This window comes from Homo sapiens, chromosome 3, assembly GCF_000001405.40.
Source record: "Homo sapiens chromosome 3, GRCh38.p14 Primary Assembly".
NCBI lineage: Eukaryota > Metazoa > Chordata > Mammalia > Primates > Hominidae > Homo > Homo sapiens.
In genome coordinates this window covers 121,640,088-121,661,514 of record NC_000003.12, presented here as the reverse complement: position 1 = coordinate 121,661,514, position 21,427 = coordinate 121,640,088, and the positions used below count along the sequence as shown (strand labels likewise).

Genomic DNA, 21,427 nt, shown 5'->3' with positions numbered 1-21,427 from the left:
GCTCTAGAGCCAAATCTTTAGTTTGTTAGCTCAGACTCCACAGTGCCCCAAACAAGCTAGGAAACTCTCCTTCCATGTCTTGCCTTTTCCCTCATGAGTTATTCTCTTCTGGCATTCAATTGGTCGACGTTTATTTGAACATCTATATGAAAACTCCACTTTTAAGTGCTGTGGGTAATATAGGGGTGAGTTTCTTTTTAAGTCTTATGCTTCAAAACCCACATATAAATCACTTTTCCCATAAAGCCTTTCTTGATGAATACACCCAATACCAAATGCTCTGAATTCCTTTACTGTCTCAAATGTAACTGCCACCCTATTTAGGACACAATGCTGTTCTACAGCATTCTCTAATGTGTTTTCTGGTTGAATGTTTGTTTCTCTCACTGGATTACAAACTCAGAGTCAAAGCAGCATTTTCTATGACTGCTCTATGACCCCCATTGTCAAAACCTTGCAAAAGACCAGGCACAGAAACATTTAATCCTTTTAAAATTTAAGTGTCTAAAGCAGAAGGAACTGACTCAAATTTCAGGAAGTAGCTGTGAGGATGGGGTGGCAGGAAATGACGAAAACCTGAATACGGAACTGAAGCAGCAGCTCAGTTTCTCACTCCGAAGTGGCAGCAGCCAGAGAGGGAGTCGGTGTGGACGCGAGGAGCCGGGCGCTTAGAACAGAGGCTTGCACAGGTGGAGGTGGGTACTCTGAGCCATGGGACAGTTGGGAAACACAGAGTAAGAGTTGAGGAGGAACCTACCTGGCTCTTAGTCCTTGGTGATGGGCAAGGTCACCACTAGTAGGCTTTTATCCTTTTATGGCCAGAAGGCCTGGTTGTGAGTGGTTGTAGCAAATCAGCATCTGGAGATAGAAACAAAAGGGAGGGGCTTAAACCCAAGGCAAGTGTTTCAGGAGCCATCTAGCACCAACATCAAGCAAAGTGTTGCCTGGTTTCTGCTGACAATCTACAACCCACTCTAAGGCCTGTCTCCCCTAGGTACTGAGCTGGGAGGAGGACCACAGGAGACGAAAACAGTGTCTGCCCTTGAAGAGCATATGGTCTCAGGGAAACAAACCCACACAGGAAATGTAACAGATCAGGAAGTAGTCACTGATGTACACTAGCACTGAGTACCAAGTGCTGATGGAGCCCAAGAGAAGGCATGATTGTTCTGCTGGGGCTAGTTTCTGTGTTCGTAGATCACAGAATCTCAGAATGTCAGAAATCAAGGAGACCACAGATGAGCTACGTTAACCCCTTCATTATTTTCCACTGGGAAAATCAGAGATAATTGCTGATTTGCCAAATTATTAAAGTTAGTATTTCTTAATCGCCTGGTCTGATACCTGGCAAATGAGTACCTACTCTGTTGATGCCCTTGTGATGGTCCCTCAGAGGCTTAGTCACAGAGCTGGGGTGACAGCCAGGGCTTCTGACTCCCAGTCTGTGTACTTTGATGCAGGAGGTCAGCATCGCAACAAGGCCTCACCAGATTACTCTCTGGTTCTCACCTCTAGATAGCACTTCTTACCTTTCTGGTTTCTGGTCAATAGGTCAAGGATATTAGATAAATTGTCTCTATTTCAGAAACTCTTTATTTCAAAAATGGGTGAATGGGAGAGTCAGGCTGAGGCCTCAGAGGAGCCACAGGAAGGAGGATGGGACCATCAGTCCTCATTGCTTCCTTATTGCTCATGACTATTTCAGAAACTTCTCCATTCCAGTTTTCTGTGTGACAGTCCTTTTGTTGTTGCACAGCAGCCCAGGAGCCAGGGGATGAGAAGCAGAGGGGTAGTAAGGATGCAGGTAGTAAGGATGTTTTGCTGTCTCCAACCGCATCAGGGAAAGCCAAGCTGCTTTCAGCCATGACTCCCGGCTGACTCAGTCAATATCTCTCCGGTGTCCCCTTAGCATCTCTTTAACTGATTTACCCAGACTTCCCCTGGGCTGGTTTTTAAGAGGTTGCTCAATGGAGAAGATGGAGCTTTCAAGTGGAAATAGAAAACTGGAGAATCTGAAGGCCTAGGTGGAGACAGGAGAACCCGAGGAGTGGTTGTAAAGGGACTCTTTGGAGACGATGGAGAGCATGGGGAAGGTCTCCAATGGGATGAGGTGTCTGAGGAGGGAAGGATTGCCAGCTAGCAAGTGCTGCCAGGGTCAAGAAGTCTCAGTGGTGACCACAGCAGATGAGCATTGTCTGTTGTTACTTCTTCACACCAAATCCACAGATGCAGAGCAACTGTGCCGCTCTTCCTTCTGCACAGTCCGGAAGGCCGTCTAGAACACTGGGAATGCCCCAGCAGAATAAGTTTGGCACCCTTCCAAGCTAGGGTTCTCTAAATATTTCTGCAACATTTATTTAGTTGATAAAAACTGAGTACCTCTTAATGTTCAAAATCAGATTTATTACATATTATTCTTTTTTCTTTTCTACGGTAAATTGTCAACTTGAAAACATGCTATTTTTTGACTTTAGCAATTAATTGAACCATTTTTAAAAAATTGAGTAATAACTGACTTATTCCCAGCAAATAATGCTCTCCCAATGCATTGTTCCATGTGGAAATTTCAGCCGACTGTCGCTGCTGACCTTACACAGCTGTGAGGTGACCAGACTCAGGGTGGAGGTGGGACAGCACTTGGACCAGAGGCTGGAAAAATTCTCAGTGTAGTTCAGCAGGTTGTAAAGAGGGATGTAGATGTTCACTTTGTGAGAAGCAGAACCAATTTGTATTTCAACAGCAACAAAGGAATCATATATAGAAACCTGAGTGAAATAAGGCCATAATTCTAGGGATATTATAGCACCGCTCATTGCCAACCACCTCCAGCCACTGCCTGGCTGGCCTCGGGACACAAGTGAACAATTCCAGCAATTTTGACTCGTGGGTTACCTAGTGTTACCCACACCCATGATGACTTCTCTCTAGCCCCAGGTGGGCCCAGCCCACATCAATTCGTCTTGATTAAAGTCCCATCTCTCATCTTGTAACTGAGCAGAAAAGCCTTCCTACAACTCCCATTTGCTTTGCTTCATTTTCTATTTTCTTCTAAGAAAAAAAAAATGGCAGGAAATATTGGGCTGCTATATTTTGACTTCAGCATTCCTATTTTCCCTCCTCTTGATCCTTTTTTGTCCCTAATTATTCCCATCTCCGGTCACTCTCAGATGTGGAAGTCTGTAGTGGGCCATGATGTGTCTGTTTCCGTGGAGACCCAGGGTGATGATTGGGACACAGATCCTGACTTTGTGGTGAGTTTGGAAGTAGCTTTGCTTGGACAGTGCAGAGGGTGGGGTGAGGAGGGCATCTGGGCCACTCTGTGATCTTTGAGGATGCTTGGAAAAGGGCCTTCTAGGACTGAGACAGCCCTCATACTGGGACTAATTGGTAGGACAATTGGCTGTCACCTGTGGGGCATGCACGATACCTGGTATCAGGGATGAAAAGAGACAGGTGTGGGTGAGTTTGACAGTGTGATTGACAGGCCATGGCAGGCTACACTGAAGGTGAGAAGCAGGTGAACCTGGGTCTCCCCTGGCCCATGATCCAGGATTCAAGCTGGGCATGTGTAATTGGGGGATTAAAAAGCTGTAGGAGACCAGATGGGGTAGGCATGAAGTAGGCAGAGGAGGAACGGAGGTTTCAGAGCTCACTAGTTTAATTCTTTGTGTTTTCTTGTTTGTTTTTTGAGACAGAGTCTCACTCTGTCACCCAGGCTGGAGTACGGTGGTGCAATCTCAGCTCACTGCAACCTCTGCCTCCCAGGTTCAAGCGATTCTCCTACCTCAGCCTCCCAAGTAGTCCCTGCAGTTGGGACTACAGGTGCATGCCACCACACCTGGCTAATTTTTGTATTTTTTTGGTAGAGATGGGGTTTCACCATGTTGGCCAAGCTAGTCTTGAGCTCCTGACCTAAAGAGATCCACCCGCCTCGGCCTCCTAAAATGCTAGGATTACAGGCATAAGCCACCACGCCTGGCCTCACCAGTTTAATTCTTACATGGGGTCAGGATGGGATAAATATAGAGGGGATGTGAATAAAGACCCAGACTGAAGAAGGCAGTGGACACAGGGGACATGGAGGGCATGTGTCAGTTGGGTGGCCCTTCTCAATGTGGCACATTTCTTGCCGTCATGTATTACTGCGTGCTGTCGTTTGCAGAATGACATCTCTGAAAAGGAGCAACGATGGGGAGCCAAGACCATCGAGGGGTCTGGACGCACAGAACACATCAAGTAGGTGCCGAAAGGACTGGAGAAAAGGAAGGGGGTTATGGGAAGAGCCCAAAGAAAACTCGGAGACTTGGGGGAAGGTGAGGGAGGAAAAGGATAGGGTAGTTCATGTCTATGTATTATTGTGTTTGTTTTTTTTCTAGAGTCTGTTCCTGTGTGTACCTGTGTGTCATTGCATATTTCCATTTTATGTCTCTCCTCTTACCCTCCTCAACCCTATTATCTATCTTTTATACCTAACAACTCTGCTATTTCCCCAAGTGGGTCTATTGGATTAACTGCCTCCCTTCCTTTAGTAAGGCATGAGAGATTCATAGAGGAAGTGGACCAAATACTAAGGTCCTCTCTATCTATCTACCTGGCAATCATCTATCTCCTATCTATCTCTTCAGATAAATGTAAATATGTATTTAGAATTCAGGGTGACTTCCTTCAGATGAACTAAGAACAATTCAGTAAAATGTCAAGGTGAAGAACTCAGAATAAATGCTATAAAAAGAGGCCACTTCAGCTCCCATAACTGGCCCAAATAACTTTTAAAATACAGATTTGTACTTAGCTATTTGACAGAAGTTGGAAGCCATGAATGGTAATATGAAGAAATGTAACACTTGGAAAACCTGTTGATAAAAACTATTTTGGCAACGATGTTCAGGGATCTTTAAGATTATAGCCCCATATGCATTTTACCAGAAACAAACAAACAAACAAAACCCTCCGATACCAGAAGATAAAAGGAACTTACAGACATATCCAGGGGTTTCTGTGGGATATGTCATACATTCAGGCTGAGAGATCCCCTTCTCTCTTCCACGGATGATTCAGGATCATCTAACCAGGACCATCTGCTTTGGATAGTATCAGAATGTCAAACATTAGTAGCAAGGTAGACACAATAAATAGTGTAACAAGCAAAAATTCAACAACTACACACAAAATGGCAAGATTAATACAGTTTTAAGCTCCATTTTTAACTCCCCCTACCGCACCCTAAAAGCAGTGTTTTTACCTCTAGATTTTAAAAAGTGTCAGTGGATGACCACATTGCACAAGCAACATACTGTGAAAGCCTGGCACAAGTTTCTACAACTGGATGACAATACCACATTGTTTAATCAGAAATAAATGGTTTCGGCCGGGCGTGGTGGCTCACGCTTGTAATCCCAAAACTTTGGAAGGCCGAGCGAGGAAGATCACTTGAGGTCAGGAGTTCAAGACCAGCATGGGCAACATGATGAAACCCTGTGTCTACTAAAAATACAAAAATTAGATGGGCGTGGTGGCGGGCACCTGTAATCCCAGCTACTCAGGAGGCCGAAGCACGAGAGTCTCTTGAACCCAGGAGGCACAGGTTGCAGTGAGCTGAGATCGCACCACTGCACTCCAGCCAGGGTGATAGAGCGAGACTCAGTCTCAATAAATAAATAAATAAATAAATAAATAAATAAATAAATAAATGGTTTCAATTAAGTAGCTATAATGAATATTATTCTTAAACCATGCCATTCTGGAAAAAGATTGAAACAATGGAACAGGGTCATTCAGGAAGCTTCTGTGATACCCCTCTATAGACTCATAGATCAAAAAAAAAAAAAAAAAAACCACAAGACCCTTTTCCTTTTCTGAATAAAGGCCACTCAACGCTGGTATTCTGGGAATTGTCCAGATGAGGATGCACACTTCATGCCTTTGGTGGTATTGTAGCCAATGAGGTTTATCCGAGGTGTGATTATTGCTAATTGAAAACTTCCCAACACTCCGCCATGACGACTTGCAATATAGTAGGCATTGGCAAAAAAAAAAAAAAAAAAAAAAAAAAGAGCAAGCAACCCTCATAAAAAAATGAAATAACTTAAAAAAAAATAGCCACCCTGAAGATGTATAGTTACAGGTCAATGGGATAGCCAATGTCTAATGCAGTACTTAGCACTTCTGAGCAGCTCAGTGATGTTAGTTTTGTTTCCTGTTAATATAGGTTAGTTTAATCAGATTTCCTTTCTAAAATCTAACAAACATGTAAACAGACAACAGCCCTTTTTTCTCCTAAGTGGTGTCTACCTGGACTGTTGGATTGCACAACTCCTATACACAGATCACTCTGACGGGTGCTGCCTGGAGTGGTACAACATGGTGACCCTGCACATTTCCTTGTTAACCTAACTGAATCTATCAGATAGAATAAACGATGGAGATATTGACAAAAAAATCTCGCTCATCTCCCATTTACCCAGGTTATCAAGGAGTGAAAGCCTGGTATCTGCTGGTAACAGGCCAGGTGGCTTTAGACAAGTCCCTTTTCCTCTCTGATTCTCATTTTGCCCATCTGGATCAAAAAGACCTCTAGAGGACTTTCCAGTAGTAAGTCTCCACTATTTGGGGATTCCCTCTCGTTAGTGTGGGCTAAGTCAGTCTTTAACATCTGATGGGAATCACCATGGTCCTTGGAAAGGAGAGGGAAATTGGAGAGGAGAACAGTAGCTGTAGATGCTAACACTGACAGATCCCAAAATGAAAAAACAAAAAACAAACAAACAAAACAAAACAGTAGCTGTAGAGCTGAGACGACTAAAAGCAGGAAAAGGAAGTGGTTGCAGTTCTTACTAATCTTACTACCTTCCCCACACCGTGATGTCTCTTTTTAGGTCTGTCTTGAATAAATTTAGTTTGGATAGTAATTTGGTAATTCAGTGAATAATTCAAATGGTCCTATGCATCCCTTATCCATTCTGTAAAGGAACTGCCTGGTTTTCAAGAACTATCACCCTTCTCTCCACCTTCTTTTCTCCACTCTTGCCCATTCATTCTCAAGACTCAAGGGTGTCTTTTCCCTTGACCTGTTTGTTTATTTTCAAATCTGTCACAGACTGATACTTTTGTAAAATAAAATACAATTAAGTTTCTGGAAAAATAAATGGTTAAAAATAACATAGACAATACAAACACAGTTTTTATTTTTAAATTCAACAGATATAAAATCACGATGTTGTCAGGCATGCTAGTCTGTGCCTATAGACCCAACTACTCAGGAGGCTGAGGCAGGAGGATCACTTGAGTCCAGTAGTTCTGGGCTATAGTGCTCTATGCTGATTGGGTCTCCACGCTGAATTCTGAATCAATATAGTGACCTCCCACCTCCCAGGAGCAGGGGACCATAGGTTGCCTAAGAAGGGGTGAACTTGCCCAGGTCAGAAATGGAGCAGGTCAAAACTCCAGTGCTGATCAGTAGTGGGATTGTGTCTGTGAGTAGCCACTGTACTCCAGCCTGGGCAACAGTGAGACCCCATTTCTAAAAAAGAAAAAGAAAAAGAATAAAATCACTATGTCAAATTGCTATAAAAGTTTCTAAACACATATTCTCAATTTTTATTCTTATTTCCCTGTGAAACAGAAACAGTTCAGCTTGTGGACCACACACTGAGTGGCACTGCTCTGGAATAATCTTTCAGCACTTCCTGGAACCAGTCTGGCCTTTAGATTAAATCTTTACTGAGCTATAACCATAGGATGTCTGCCTCAGTGGCCCTGTCCTCTTCTCGTGCCCTGACATTTTATAGCAAGTGGAAATAAAGAATGGTGTAATGCCAAGAGTATAGAAATAGAATTCTGGAGCTCTAGGGACTGATTCCAGCTCTGCTGTAAAAAGGCTTATGATGCTGAGGAGAGTAATAATATTTTACCATCCTATCTTGATTTCCAGCGCTGACTGGAGATTATAGTACCATCCCTGTTTACCTCACAGGGGTACTGGGAAGAGCCATGGCTATAACTTAAGAATAATGACTAACATTTATTAAGCTATTATATGTCTTGCAAAACACAGAGTACTTTTTAAAAACAATCCTATATCATAGATGACGTTGGCATCCTGATTTCACAGAAAAGTGAATGGATATATTAATGTTTAGCAATTTGTCCGAGGATACAGAGATACAGGTTGAGCATCCCTAATCCAAAAATTCAAAATCTAAAATGTTCCAAAATCTGAAATTTTTGAAAGCCCACATGATACCACAAGTAGAAAATTCCACACCTGACTACATGTGATGGGTCTCAGTCAAAATACAGGTGCACAACAGTTTTTTCAGCGTCCCCAAGGGAAAAATAAAGTTACCTTCATTTATTTAGTTCTTCTTTAATACCTTCCTTAATATAGTGTATATGACACATAAATGAATTTCCTGTTTACACATGGGTCTCGTCCCCAAGATATCTCATTATGTATATGCAAATATTCCAAAACCTGAAAAAATCCTGAATCCAAAACACTTCTGGTCCCAAGCGTTTGGGATGAGGGATAGTCAACCTGTAGTAATTTGAATTCGGCTCAGTCTGACTCCATGGGCTGAAATCTTAACCAATATATTGTTTTTGTCTAATAAACATAATATCGTCATGTCCGTAATTCTTTTGTTGAAATGAAATGCAAATTCCCATGAACTAAGCTATTGCCAATTCCCTAAGGCTGCTTGCTATTCTGTTTACAGTGACAAAGTACTTGATAAGTTGGCCTTAATAATACTACAATCACTTCATAAACAAACCTCTTTATGAGTGCCCAAAGTCTCTTTCATTTAAGGTTTTCTTCACTTTATTATTTTTCAAAAATTAACTTTGTTTTTTTTGAGACGGAGTTTCGCTCTGTCATCCAGGCTGGAGTGCAGTGGTACGATCTCGGCTCACTGAAACCTCCGCCTCTGCCTCCCAGCTTCAAGTGATTCTCCTACCTCAGCTTCCCGAGTAGCTGGGATTACAGGCATGTGCCACCTTGCCCAGCTAATTTGTGTATTTTTAGTAGAGACGGGGTTTAACCATGTTGGCCAGACTGGTCTTGAACTCCTGACCTCAAGTGATCCGCCTGCCTCGGCCTCCTACAGTGCTGGGATTACAGGTGTAAGCCACCATTGCCCAGGCAAAAATTAAATTTATTGATACCTAATCATTATAAGCAAATAGTTCAATGAGTTTTGACTATATATATATAATATAACCACCAATGCAATCAAGATATAGAATATATCTATTACCATGAAAATTTCCCTGCACCTCTTTGCAGTCAATACACCCCATACTGATCTTTTTGTCACTATAGATTAGTTTTGTCTGGCATAGAATTTCATGCAAACAGAATAATATAGAATGTATTGTTTTGTGTTGTCTTCTTTCAGCATAATGTTTTCCAGATTTATCCATGGTGTTGTGTATATAAGTCTTTTGTTCTTTTATATTGTCATGTAGTGTCCCATTGTATGGATATGTCACAGTTTTATTATTCATTATCCTGTCAATAGCCATTTGGATTATTGACAATTTGGATCTATTACAAATGAAACTGTCATGGGCATTTGGGTACAAATCTTTTTGTTGACATATCCTTATTTCTCTTGGAAAATTGCCAGGAGTAGAATTGCTGAGTCATATAATAAGTGTATGTTAAACATTTTGAGAGACTCTCAAACTCTTTTCCAAAGGGAATTTACCCTCTTTCATTCCTACCAGTAATGTGTGGGTTTCAGATGCTCCACATTTTTGTCAACATTTGTTATTGTTAGTATTTTTAAATTTAGCTGGGTGCAGTGGCTCATGCCTGTAATCCCAGCACTTTAGGAGGCCAAGGCAGGAGGATGACTTGAGCCCAGGAGTTCAAGACCATCTGGACAATGTGGAGAGATTCAGAGTCTACAAAAAAATTAAAAATTGGCTGGCTGTGGTCTGAGCTATTCAGGAGGCTGAGGCAGGAGAAGCACTTGAGCCCAGGGGGTTGAGGCTGCAGTGAGCCATGTTTGCCCCACTGCACTCCAGCCTGGGTGACAGACTGAGATCCTCTCTAAAAGACAAACAAAACAAAACAACAACAACAACAACAAAACCAACTTAACCACTCTTTTAAGTTAATTTGAATTTCTCTGATGACCAGTTTTATTGAGTATATTTTCATTTGCCATTCATATATCTTCATATATCTTCTTTATGAAGTATCTGTTCACATCTTTTTCTCACTTTTAAAGTGAGTTGTTTGTCTTTTTATTAAGTTGCTGAAAGTTCTTTATATATTCTGGATGTAAGTCTTTTGTGAAATATGTGTTTTACAAGTGTATTCTCCCAGAACATAACTTGCTTTTTCACTTTATTGATTGATTGATTGATTATTTATTGATTGATTGCTCTGTTGCCCAGGCTGGAGTGCAGTGACATGATCTCAGCTCACTGCAACCTCTGCCTCCTGGGTTCAAGCGATTCTGCTGCTTCAGCCTCCTGAGTAGCTGGGACTCAGGCGCCCACCACCAAGCCCAGCTAATTTTTGTATTTTTGGTAGAGACGGGGTTTCACCATAGTGGCTAGGCTGGTCTTGAGCTCCTGACCTTGTGATCCACCCGCCTTGACCTCCCAAAGTGCTGAGATTACAGGCGTGAGCCACCACACCTGGCCACTTTTTCATTTTATTAATGGCATCTTTTTAAGAGCAAAAGATCTTAATCCTGATGATGTCTAATTTATTGAAAAAAAATTTATGGGGCTAATGCTTTATGTGTCTAAGAAATATTTACCTACCCCAAAGTTGTGAAGACTTTCTTTGATGTTTTGTCCTAAAGGACTGACAGTTTTAGCTTTTACATTTAAGTCTATGACCCATTTCAAGTAGACTTTTCTGTGCAGTGTGAGGTCAAGATTGAGGTTCATTTTTCTCCATGTGATTATTTAGTTGTTCAACAATATTAAAAGAGTATTCTGTTCCCATTGACTTACCTGGCATCTTTGACCACATACATGTGGGTCTATTTCTGGACTCTATTCTGTTCTGTTGATCTATTTTCTACCCTGACAGCATACCATACTGCACTGATTATTGTAGCTTTATAAGTCAAGAAATTATGTAGTCCTCAACTTTGCTCTCCTTAAAAAAAAAAAAAGAAACAAAAGATTTTACTATTCCAGGACTTTACATTTTCACATAAATTTTATAATTCACTAGTCAATTCCTACAAGAATGCCTGTTCAGATTTTGATTGGGATTGCATTGAATCTATAGATCATTTTAGGGAGAACTGACATCTTAATGATATTGAGTTTTCCAATCCATGAACATGGGATATCTCTCCATTTATTTAGATCTTCTTTAATATTTTCAGAAATATTTTTTAGTGTTTAGGTCTTGCACATACTTTGTTAAGTTTATCCTAAAATGTTTCATGTTATTTCATGTATTTATATTTAACTTCCAGTTTCCAAATGTTTATGGCCAGTATGTAAAAATACAATTGATTTTGATATAATGACCTTGTATCCTGTGACCTAGCCAAATGCACAATGCTTTAGTAGCTTTTTTTGTGTGAATTCTTTAGGATTTTCTACATACATGATCAGGTCATCTGTGAATAAAAACCTTATATTCTGAGTCACTCACATTTGTGCTTTTAGTTTTGTAATAAAAAACAAACACAGATTGAGGAATGAGTCATCTTTGAGGTGCTACATTTTGCTTGGTTCACATAAACTGCATTGCTTTATCAATACAAAGTCTTTTAAAACTTAAATTGGATATCTGAGAGTTAATATGTCAAAAGTTTCTTAGGCACAACACAGCATATTGAATTGGAATTTTTTGTTTTCCTCTCTATCTCTTCTAGCTGTCCTCTATCTCCATACATAAAACATTTTTGTGTCCTCAGAGCCTAACAGTACCTCACACTTAAAAGTTGTTTAGTTAATAGTTATAAAATGAAGGAATGATGTGATTAAGACCTGTTTAGGCCAGGCGTGGTGGCTCACGCCTGTAATCCCAGCACTTTGGGAGGCCAAGGCAAGAGGATCACTTGAGGTCAGGAGTTTGAGACCAGCCTGGCCAACATGGTGAAACCCTGTCTCTACTAAAAATACAAAATCTAGCGGGGCATGACATGCATGCCTGTAATCCCAGCTACTCTGGAGGCTGAGGCAAGAGAATCACTTGAACCCGGGAGGCGGAGATTACAGTGAGCTGAGATCATACCACTGCACTCCAGCCTGGGCGACAGAGCAAGATTCTGTCTCAATAATAATAATAATAATAAAGACCTGTTTAGAATGACTTCCACTATAACCTAAAGAAGTCTGTTTTCTTTGGGCCTCAACAATTTCATTCAAATTATATCATTGGTATGATCCCCTGACTAGTTTTTCTGTTATCCTTTAGATGAATATTTCTGAGTATCATTTTCTAATCCCTTTTAAAAACTTGTTTTAACTATAATATAGTTATAACCCATTTAACAATTATTATATTCATTAAAAAATTGCAGATTTTTTCCATTTGAAAGTAAATTTTGGCCCCATTTTCTTGATCTTTCATCTGAATACTTCAGTTGGAAGATATTGGGCAGGCATTTACATGTCCTTGGTACTAGTAGCTTATGACACAGTGTTGGTGTTGAACTGACAACACAAGATCTCTGCTTTCAACGCTGCCAGAGAGTTTAGAGGAGGCATGGGAACAGGGGGTTCTTCCAGCACTTGGCTTAATTTCATCTGGTTCATAGCCAGCTTTCTAAAATTAACTGCGGCTAAAGCTGAGAAGGCTTTTTAAAAAGACCTTTGGTAGAATTATCCACTAAAGGCCACCAGATGGATCTATTCTTCCTTAAAAGAAGACAATTTCTGCTGTGAGACAGCCATTCTACGTATAACCAATGTGTCTGGTTGTCCTGCGCTGGTAAAGTCCCAGCTCACCATCTAACATCACTATCTTAATACCCTAAACCCTCATTGCTTGCTGCAGAAAGTCAAATTTCTTATTTAGGGTTCTCTTGCCCAAATGTTTCCAAGAATCCCCGGATCCTTATATGTGTCCAAATAACAGATCTGATTGTCACGTGGGGCTGAGCTATCACTTCATATCCTCAAGCCAAAGAGGTTGGCCAAGATGGCTTTCTGCCCTCTTAATTGTTGCAGTCACCTTCATGGTAAAGATGGAAGTGGGTGTGAAGTAAGAAAGATAATGCCTTTTTTGGTGGTACTTTCTCTTAGGGATAGAGGTGTCCCTTCAAATCAAGATAATTTGAGGCTTAAAGTGTTATAGCAATAACTGTGAGTGGATTTTCTTAGTTAGTTTTCATTAGTCCTTAGTTTTCTCAGGTATTATCAGCCTGGGGGGAAGGGGCAGAAGATCTTAATTCATGACCAAAAAGCATAAAAAATACCACTAATGTTTACATAAATTTCCCCAGTTCTGTGTTTTTATAAGCATTATATTTAATGACTTCCTAGTACACTAGTGAAAGGTAGTATTTCAATTTATTTAACTATTATCCAACCATTGGTCATATAGATTGTTTCTTAGTTATTGCTATTATATACGATGCTTCAATGAGTATCATTTAGACATTAAGGACATTAAGCTTTGCCATATTTAAAATCATTTCCCTGGTGTAGACTGCTAAAACTAGAATGTGTAGGTCCAATGGTATGTGAATATTTTTCTGCTTTTTGAGACACATCCTCTAATTGATAGAAAGCAGATCCATTCAGAAAAGAAAATAACTTTCCAGTTATCAGAATATAGGTACCATTGTCCTCTAATATTTAAGAACATGAAAAATGGGACTAAAGATCAGAAGGTTATTTTAGTGAGCAAATAACAGACTAGAGGAAATATTATTGGCCTATGGAGAGTTTAAATCAGGCTATGGTATGCAGGCCAGACTGATCTTTTACTTCCAGACCCATCACTAGTATATTTTGGGGGCCCAGGTTATTACTGAAAGTAAACAGGACAGACTTCAAGGCTTCCATTTTTCTGGGAAGATGGGTTTCTTGATCTCCCTAGGATAGATGAGCCTTGGTCATGTGGTTTCTTCCAGCATCCACCAGCTGAGGAACAAAGTATCAGAGGAGCATGATGTTCTCAGGAAGAAAGAGATGGAGTCAGGGCCCAAAGCATCCCATGGCTATGGAGGTCGGTTTGGAGTAGAAAGAGACCGAATGGACAAGGTAAGTTGAAAGGGAAAGATTTGCTTTAAAAAAATACAAGCCGGGTGCGGTGGCTCACGCCTGTAATCCCAGCACTTTGGAAGGCCAAGGTGGGTGGATCATGAGGTTAGGAGATCGAGACCATCCTGGCTAACACGGTGAAACCCCATCTCTACTAAAAATACAAAAAATTAGCCGTGCGTCGTGGTGGGTGCCTGTAGTCCCAGCTACTCAGGAGGCTGAGGCAGGAGAATGGCGTGAACCTGGGAGGCAGAGCTTGCAGTGAGCCGAGATCATGCCACTGCACTCCAGCCTGGGAGACAGAGCGAGACTCTGTCTCAAAAAAAAAAAAAATAAATAAAATAAATAAATAATACATTAAAAAATTGATATATATACTTATATATTTTGTAAATATGTATAATTATATACTTATATATAATTATATACCTCTATAATAAGAGCCAACTATATATAAGTATATATAATTGACTCTATAATAAATAATTGGCTCTATAATAATTGGCTATAAAATAATTGGCTCTATAAGAGCCAATTATATGTAAGTATATAATTATATAAGTATATATTTATTATATATACTTATATATTTTATATATGTTATAAATATAATATAATGTATATTATATTTTATATATTATATATAAGTGTATATATATTATAAGTATATATAATATAATATATACTTATAATATATAATATATAATAAGTATATATATTAATATATATTATATATATTAATATATGTAATAAATATATATTAATATATATAATATATACTTATATACTTATATATAACAGATACTATATATAAGTATATATAATATATAATATATCTATATTATATATTATATATCATATATAATATATAATCTACATTATTAATACATTATATTACATATTATTACTATGTAATATATTACATAGTAATATATTACATAGTAATAATATGTAATATAATGTAATATATTATATACTATAATTAATATATAATATATATTATATTATATAAGTATATAAAATATAATACATAAAATATAATATATATTATATATTTTTATTTATAAATATATATAAAATATATATAAATATATAAAATATATAAAAATATAAATAATATATTTAATATTATATTATTATATATTAATTATAAGATATATTATATATATACTTATATATAGTATCTGTTATATATAAGTATATATTATATATAAGTATATAATTAATATATTATATATTAATACAAGTATATAATTAATATATTATATATTAATACATTATATATTATATACTTATATAATTATTTATAAATATATTTATAAATATATATTATTAATATATGTTACATAATTATAAGTAAATGTAAATATATAAATTTATATTATGTATATTTTAATATATTATAATTATATGATATAACATATTTATATTATAAATATATAGTTTATTCATAAATATATAGTATATAATATTTAAGTATATTTAAAAATTTTGCTAAAACACCCAGATACTTTTGTTCTAGATCAAAATATATATTTTTTGACTCATTCATTGGTTCATGAGTTAAAACTCATTCAAAAGTACAGTAGTCATTTGGTCTAAAATATAATGTCCACATATTATTTGTATCAAATTTTTCTGATCTCAACACATAAGATATACATGGCAGAAAATAAGAACCAAGATATTAGAACTGCTGGCCTGTTGTAGCCCCAACCACATTGTAACTCCTAGACCAAGAAGACAGGGAGCACAAGTGGAGAAGGAAAAAATATGTTTTAAAATTATTTGCTGCATTTAAATGTTTATGTATTATGTCTATGTTGCAACTTCTCTTTATTATTTTATTTACTGTGTATTTAGTGATTTTTTTTGTATACATGTCCTACATTACATGGTGTATAAAGCTCAGAGTTCACTTCTGAACTTTGATGGCCATACAGGAGCAAAGATCTAGAACAAAATCATTGGCTCTCCTAGTGAAATATTCCATCCCGGCTATGGCGTCCGGTCAGTCCCCTTGGTCTCTCCTCCACACTACCCCACACTACACTCTGTTCTGCTGCACAATGCTCTTGTTTCAGCTCTTTTTGTTTCTGGTTTAAACACTGCTCTGTCTACCTTGTCTCTATCCCCTGGTTCCCAGCCCATCCTATGGGAGTGTTCAGAATGAAGGATTCCTAATGGTATTAGAGAAGAACAGGGATGAGCAGGTCTCCAGAAAAAGTCATCTTGCTCTCCCATCGCGTATTCCTTGGCACCACTGTCAGAGGCTATAGATCTGACCCAGAATGGAATTTCTTACATGCCTACATCCCACTCCATATCTGTATTTATTTTTTTAAGGTCATTTTTATCTTTTCACTCACTCCATCCTTGATTTTTCTCAGAGTGCAGTGGGCCATGAGTATGTTGCCGAGGTGGAGAAGCACTCTTCTCAGACGGATGCTGCCAAAGGCTTTGGGGGCAAGTACGGAGTTGAGAGGGACAGGGCAGACAAGGTAAGTGACCACTCTCTCTCCCAACCACCCACCTCCAGTCCTGTGAAAATTGCCCACGATCACCCCTGGATGGAGGCACATGCTTCTTTGTTGAAAGACAGGACAGTGGATGCTGTGAGGACCTGACACCGTCACAGGGATACCTCCCTCAGCAAGTTCCTTGGTGCCAATGTTGGAAGCCACATGCTGAGCTGAAAGACAGTGATTCAAATAGGAGAAGACTCTCAAACTGTGTGTTTGAATGAATAATTCCTCAAGCCACTGGTTTTTATTATACTCATATGCATGAAGATAGAACAGAGAATCATCTAAGCTCTTCTTTTGGCTTAACATCAAAACCTTATAAATACTCATGCCGTTTAGGAAAACAGATTCATCAGTTTAAATATTATTGCCATAGCAGCAGATAATCAAGTTAAACAACTAATTAGGGTTACTATTTACAGAATTTAGCATCAATCTATGAAGTCCAGATATCTTTAAAGACTCCTTTGTACAAAACAAAACAAAATGTTGTTTTAAAGAGAAAAAAAAGTACCGTATGATTACAGCATCATATCGTTGACAGGAGAGTAAGATTGATAACTCATCGATGTTTTTAGTTCCACGCCTTATTAGGTCGGATTCTTTGAACTCATTTTTTATGGTGCAGAATGGTGTCTCCTGCCCTGCAGCTGCACACAGAGAGAGGACAGCTCCTTCACAGTTAGCTGAGATTTTTTCTTTGTTTTTACCAACAGTTGTTAATTAGGTGGACATGCATCCTTAAAGCTAAGGATTGGAAGCTAAGGCAGCTAAGTTCTAGAAAATTAATTGTTTGCATCATGGGGGGTAAAACCATGAAAAACAAAATCAGGAAAGTTTAAAACATACTGCAAAGCTAAGGGAAGATGTAGAAGGCAATAGTGAAATATGGAGCATGCAGTGTTCTAGAATCAGGATGGAATTCCCTGTTCCATCTTGGCACCACTCTTGCCTGCCTTTGCTTAATCACCGATTCTTACATCTTTTGCTCACAAGCCACAAATGGAATCACCCAGTCAGTGTGTCATGTAAATCAAGAAACAATACATGTTAATTAGTTCTTAATATGCAAAAACCCAGACTTGCTTAGATACCCATAGTTCCTGAGCCAGATGGAGAACAAAGCTCCAAAACTCTGCGGTAATGTTGGGTATCTGGGCAACATATCCAGTCCCAGAGCCAGCTAGGATCCAGACTCTCCTGGTTGCAGTTATCCCACCAAAATCCACATATTTGTGTTTCCATTATTGAGTAATGAAAGAGAAGAGGCACAGCATTATCAACTGGGAATAGGGTAATGTCTCTTCATGAGCAGAGTGCTTTATACTTTACAAGGCACTTTTCTAGGTATCACATTTCACTTTTGTGAGGATTCGTTAGGAAGAAAAGCGCTAAGTTAGTGAATGAAACTAAGTAGACACTTTACCTTGTCCCATTTAGTTCTCATGACATCCCAGATGAAGAGGGATCATTTCTCTCATTTTACAGTCGAGGTAGATAAGGCAGGCATGCCTCTCCTGATTTTATATTGAAAGAGACTGGGGCTTAGTAATATAAAGGAACGTGCTTAAACTTCAACAACTATAAATAGGGGATGTAGGGTTTGAACCTAAAACTGTCTGTGTCCAGGGCCTATGTTCATTGCTCTGTAGTATCCTGTGTCCATACCAGCCTGTTTCTACATTAAACACCTATACTCAGCCTGAAGCCCCTACAAACTACCTCTGGGGCTGGCTGGGAGTAAGGGGAGGTTAGGAAGAGGAAAACCTGTCAGCTCTGACTCTAACCAATTCTGTCTCCTCTTCTCTGTAGTCAGCAGTCGGCTTTGATTATAAAGGAGAAGTGGAGAAGCACACATCTCAGAAAGGCAAGGACACTGTACTTCACTCAGCCTCAGCAATCTGACCGGCAGGCTCTTCTGCTAAGACTTTATCTTCCAGCAGTTGTCATCAGCTTTTTAACTTCCATGACCCAGCGCACCACTATTTTATTTACTTTTTGTTCATTTGTTTGTTTTTGAGACAGGGTCTTGCACTGTCACCCAGGCGGGAGTGCAGTGACACAATCATGGGTCACTGCAGCTTCGACTTCCTGGGCTCAAGCGATCCTCCCACCTCAGCGTTCTGAGTAGCTGTGACTACAAGTGTGCACCACCATGCCTGGCTAATTTTTTATTCTTTGTAGAGATGGAGTCTCACTATGTTGCCCAGGCAGTGTCAAACCTTTTGGCTCAAGTGATTCTCCCCTCTCACCCTCTCAAAGTGCTGGGATTACAGGCATGAGCCACCACACCCACCGCTATTTTACATACTTTTTTATTTTTTTGAGAGGGAGTCTCGCTCTGTCACCCAGGCTAGAGTGCAGTGGCACTATATTGGCTCACCGCAAGCTCTGTGTCCTGGGTTCACGCCATTCTCCTGCCTCAGCCTCCCAAGTAGCTGGGACTACAGGCGACTGCCAGCACGCCTGGCTAATTTTTTTTTTTTTTTTGTATTTTTAGTAGAGACGGGGTTTCACTGTGTTAGCCAGGATGGTGTCGATCTCCTGACCTCGTGATCCACCCGACTCGGCCTCCCAAAGTGCTGGGATTATAGGTGTGAGCCACCGTGCCCGGCCCTATTTTATATGCTTTTTAAACCCAGTGTGCACTTGCTTCTCTTTTTCTCCGTGATCGCTTTCTATAATATTGATCAAGTTTTTTTTTTTTTTTTTTTGCGACGGAGTCTGGCTCTGTCGCCCAGGCTGGAGTGCAGTGGCTGGATCTCGGCTCACTGCAAGTTCCGCCTTCCGGGTTCACGCCATTCTCCTGCCTCAGCCTCCCGAGTAGCTGGGACTACAGGCACCCGCCACTACGCCGGGCTAATTTTTGTATTTTTAGTGGAGACGGGGTTTCACCATGTTAGCCAGGATGGTCTCGATCTTCTGACCTCGTGATCTGCCTGCCTCGGCTTCCCAAAGTGCTGGGATTACAGGCTTGAGTCACCGCGCCTGGCCATATTGATCAAGTTTTTGAATCCCTCTTTTTTCTCTAATGGGTTGAAAATAAGGTATTCTATTCCTTTATTTTAGAAGGTTATTCCTAAATTTTAACATGCATCTTTGACTTAAATTTAAAATTAATCACAATCTCTTCCTGAGTGTATTGGAAACATAGAATATTTTAACTACATTCTTTTTAACCAACCATATTGTTGTTGTTCAGTATATTGGTTCCATCTTATTCCATCTTATTATTGATTCCATCTTATAAACCCCACAAAAATGAATCATTATTATTACTTAGTAAATGCTTATTTAAATTGACCAAGGTATTTACCTATTTCCTAGCTCAACATTGCTTATTGTATTTCATTGTTTCACCTTTGTGTCTTCTATTTCCTTCTTGCTAAAATATTCCATTGATAATTCTTTCAATGAGTCTATGAAAGAACTTTCAGTCTTTGAAAAATGTCTTTATGTTGCATCATTCTTCATTTTTATTTTCCCTTCATCACTTTGAAGATCTTATTTCATCGTCTCTGACATCTCTCTTGTGTCAGACTATCATTCCTGAGTAGGTAACATGTCTTATATCTCCGGGTTTTTTTTAATTAAAGATTTTCTTTTGGTCTCTGATATTCTTCACTATTATTAGGGTGTGTCTGAATGTTAGATCTACTTTTATTATCCTATATGGGACTTACTGCCCTTTTTCAACCTCAGATGTGACTTTCATTATAGGAAGTTCTCAGGCATTTTCTCTTGGAATAATACCTCTTCTCTCTTCTCTTTATGTCCTTGTGCCGCATTCTGGGTTATTCCTTTAGCTCTAGGTTAAGTTCACTAATTCTTCCTTTAGCTGTATTTCATTATTGTTTAAGCTGTCCATTGCATTTTAAACTTTCTTTCAAATATCTTCCCTTCCCTTCCTTTCCCTTCTCTTCCCTGCCCTGCCCTGCCCTGCCCTGCCCTGCCCTCCCGTCCCCTCCCCTCCCCTGCCCTCCCCTCCCCTCCCCTCCCCTCCCCTCCCCTTCCCTTGCCTTCCCTCTCTTTTTTTAGATAAAGTCTTATTATGTTGCCCAGGCTGGCCTCAAACTCCTGGGCTGAAGTGATCCTTCTGCCTTGGCCTCCCAAAGTGCTGGGATTACAGGCATGAGCCACCACATCAGATATTTTCATTTCTGGAGTTTCTTTTGGTTCTATTGCATATCTGCTGATTCATTTTCCATAAGACATTATGGTTTCATTATGGTTCCCTGTGCCACTTCTTTAAGCTGTTTAATTATTTTAAACATGTACTTTGCAGTTTCTTTCATATTTTATATTATTTGCAGTTCTTGGCTGTGCCATTTCTTCTGACTAATCTGCGTTCCTCATGGTTATTTATTTCCTTGATGGTTTGTAATCTTGTTTATAAACTTATTTTAGTGAAGGAGAGGGATATTTGTTTTATGAGAATTTCATGTGCCCTGGGTTTAGTAAGTACCTCATCCAGGGAAATATTGCCTCTACTTCTGGCTCAACTCTAGAGGTCTTAATAGTAACGGACATTTTTTTTCCTTTATTATTATTTTTTCCCATGGAGTTCAAGTCTTTCTGGTTTTTAAGTTGGTTATGGTATGTTGTGCTTTTCAAGGAATTTGTTCATTTTGTCTGTGTTGTCAGGTTTATTGGCATAAATTCATTTATAATATTCTCTTCTTTTTAACTTCTGTAAGATTTCTAGT

At 39.2% G+C, this 21,427-nt stretch overlaps 1 protein-coding gene and 2 pseudogenes across 2 annotated transcripts in view, besides 2 other annotated features; all 3 read left to right on the top strand.

Moving 5' to 3' along the window:
- Positions 340-389: an enhancer, noted in NCBI's record as "active region_20346". NCBI's record gives its function as "activates an Ori minimal core promoter by ATAC-STARR-seq in GM12878 lymphoblastoid cells {active_cell/tissue: GM12878}" and the evidence as "EXISTENCE:reporter gene assay evidence [ECO:0000049][PMID:35858748]".
- Positions 580-769: an enhancer, noted in NCBI's record as "active region_20345". NCBI's record gives its function as "activates an Ori minimal core promoter by ATAC-STARR-seq in GM12878 lymphoblastoid cells {active_cell/tissue: GM12878}" and the evidence as "EXISTENCE:reporter gene assay evidence [ECO:0000049][PMID:35858748]".
- Positions 612-21,427, top strand: part of HCLS1 (hematopoietic cell-specific Lyn substrate 1) — a 29,505-nt gene continuing 8,689 nt past the window's right edge. For both annotated transcript variants that reach the window (NM_001292041.2, NM_005335.6), the window contains exons 1-6: positions 612-695; positions 3,168-3,251; positions 4,163-4,236; positions 14,067-14,196; positions 16,587-16,697; positions 18,534-18,588. In NM_001292041.2, the coding sequence (NP_001278970.2) occupies positions 3,168-3,251; positions 4,163-4,236; positions 14,067-14,196; positions 16,587-16,697; positions 18,534-18,588 (454 nt within the window). In that variant the 5' untranslated portion in view covers positions 612-695. The remainder of the gene's footprint in view (positions 696-3,167; positions 3,252-4,162; positions 4,237-14,066; positions 14,197-16,586; positions 16,698-18,533; positions 18,589-21,427) is intronic.
- Positions 5,911-6,040, top strand: RNU4-62P (RNA, U4 small nuclear 62, pseudogene; annotated as a pseudogene).
- RN7SL172P (RNA, 7SL, cytoplasmic 172, pseudogene) lies at positions 7,219-7,521 on the top strand (annotated as a pseudogene).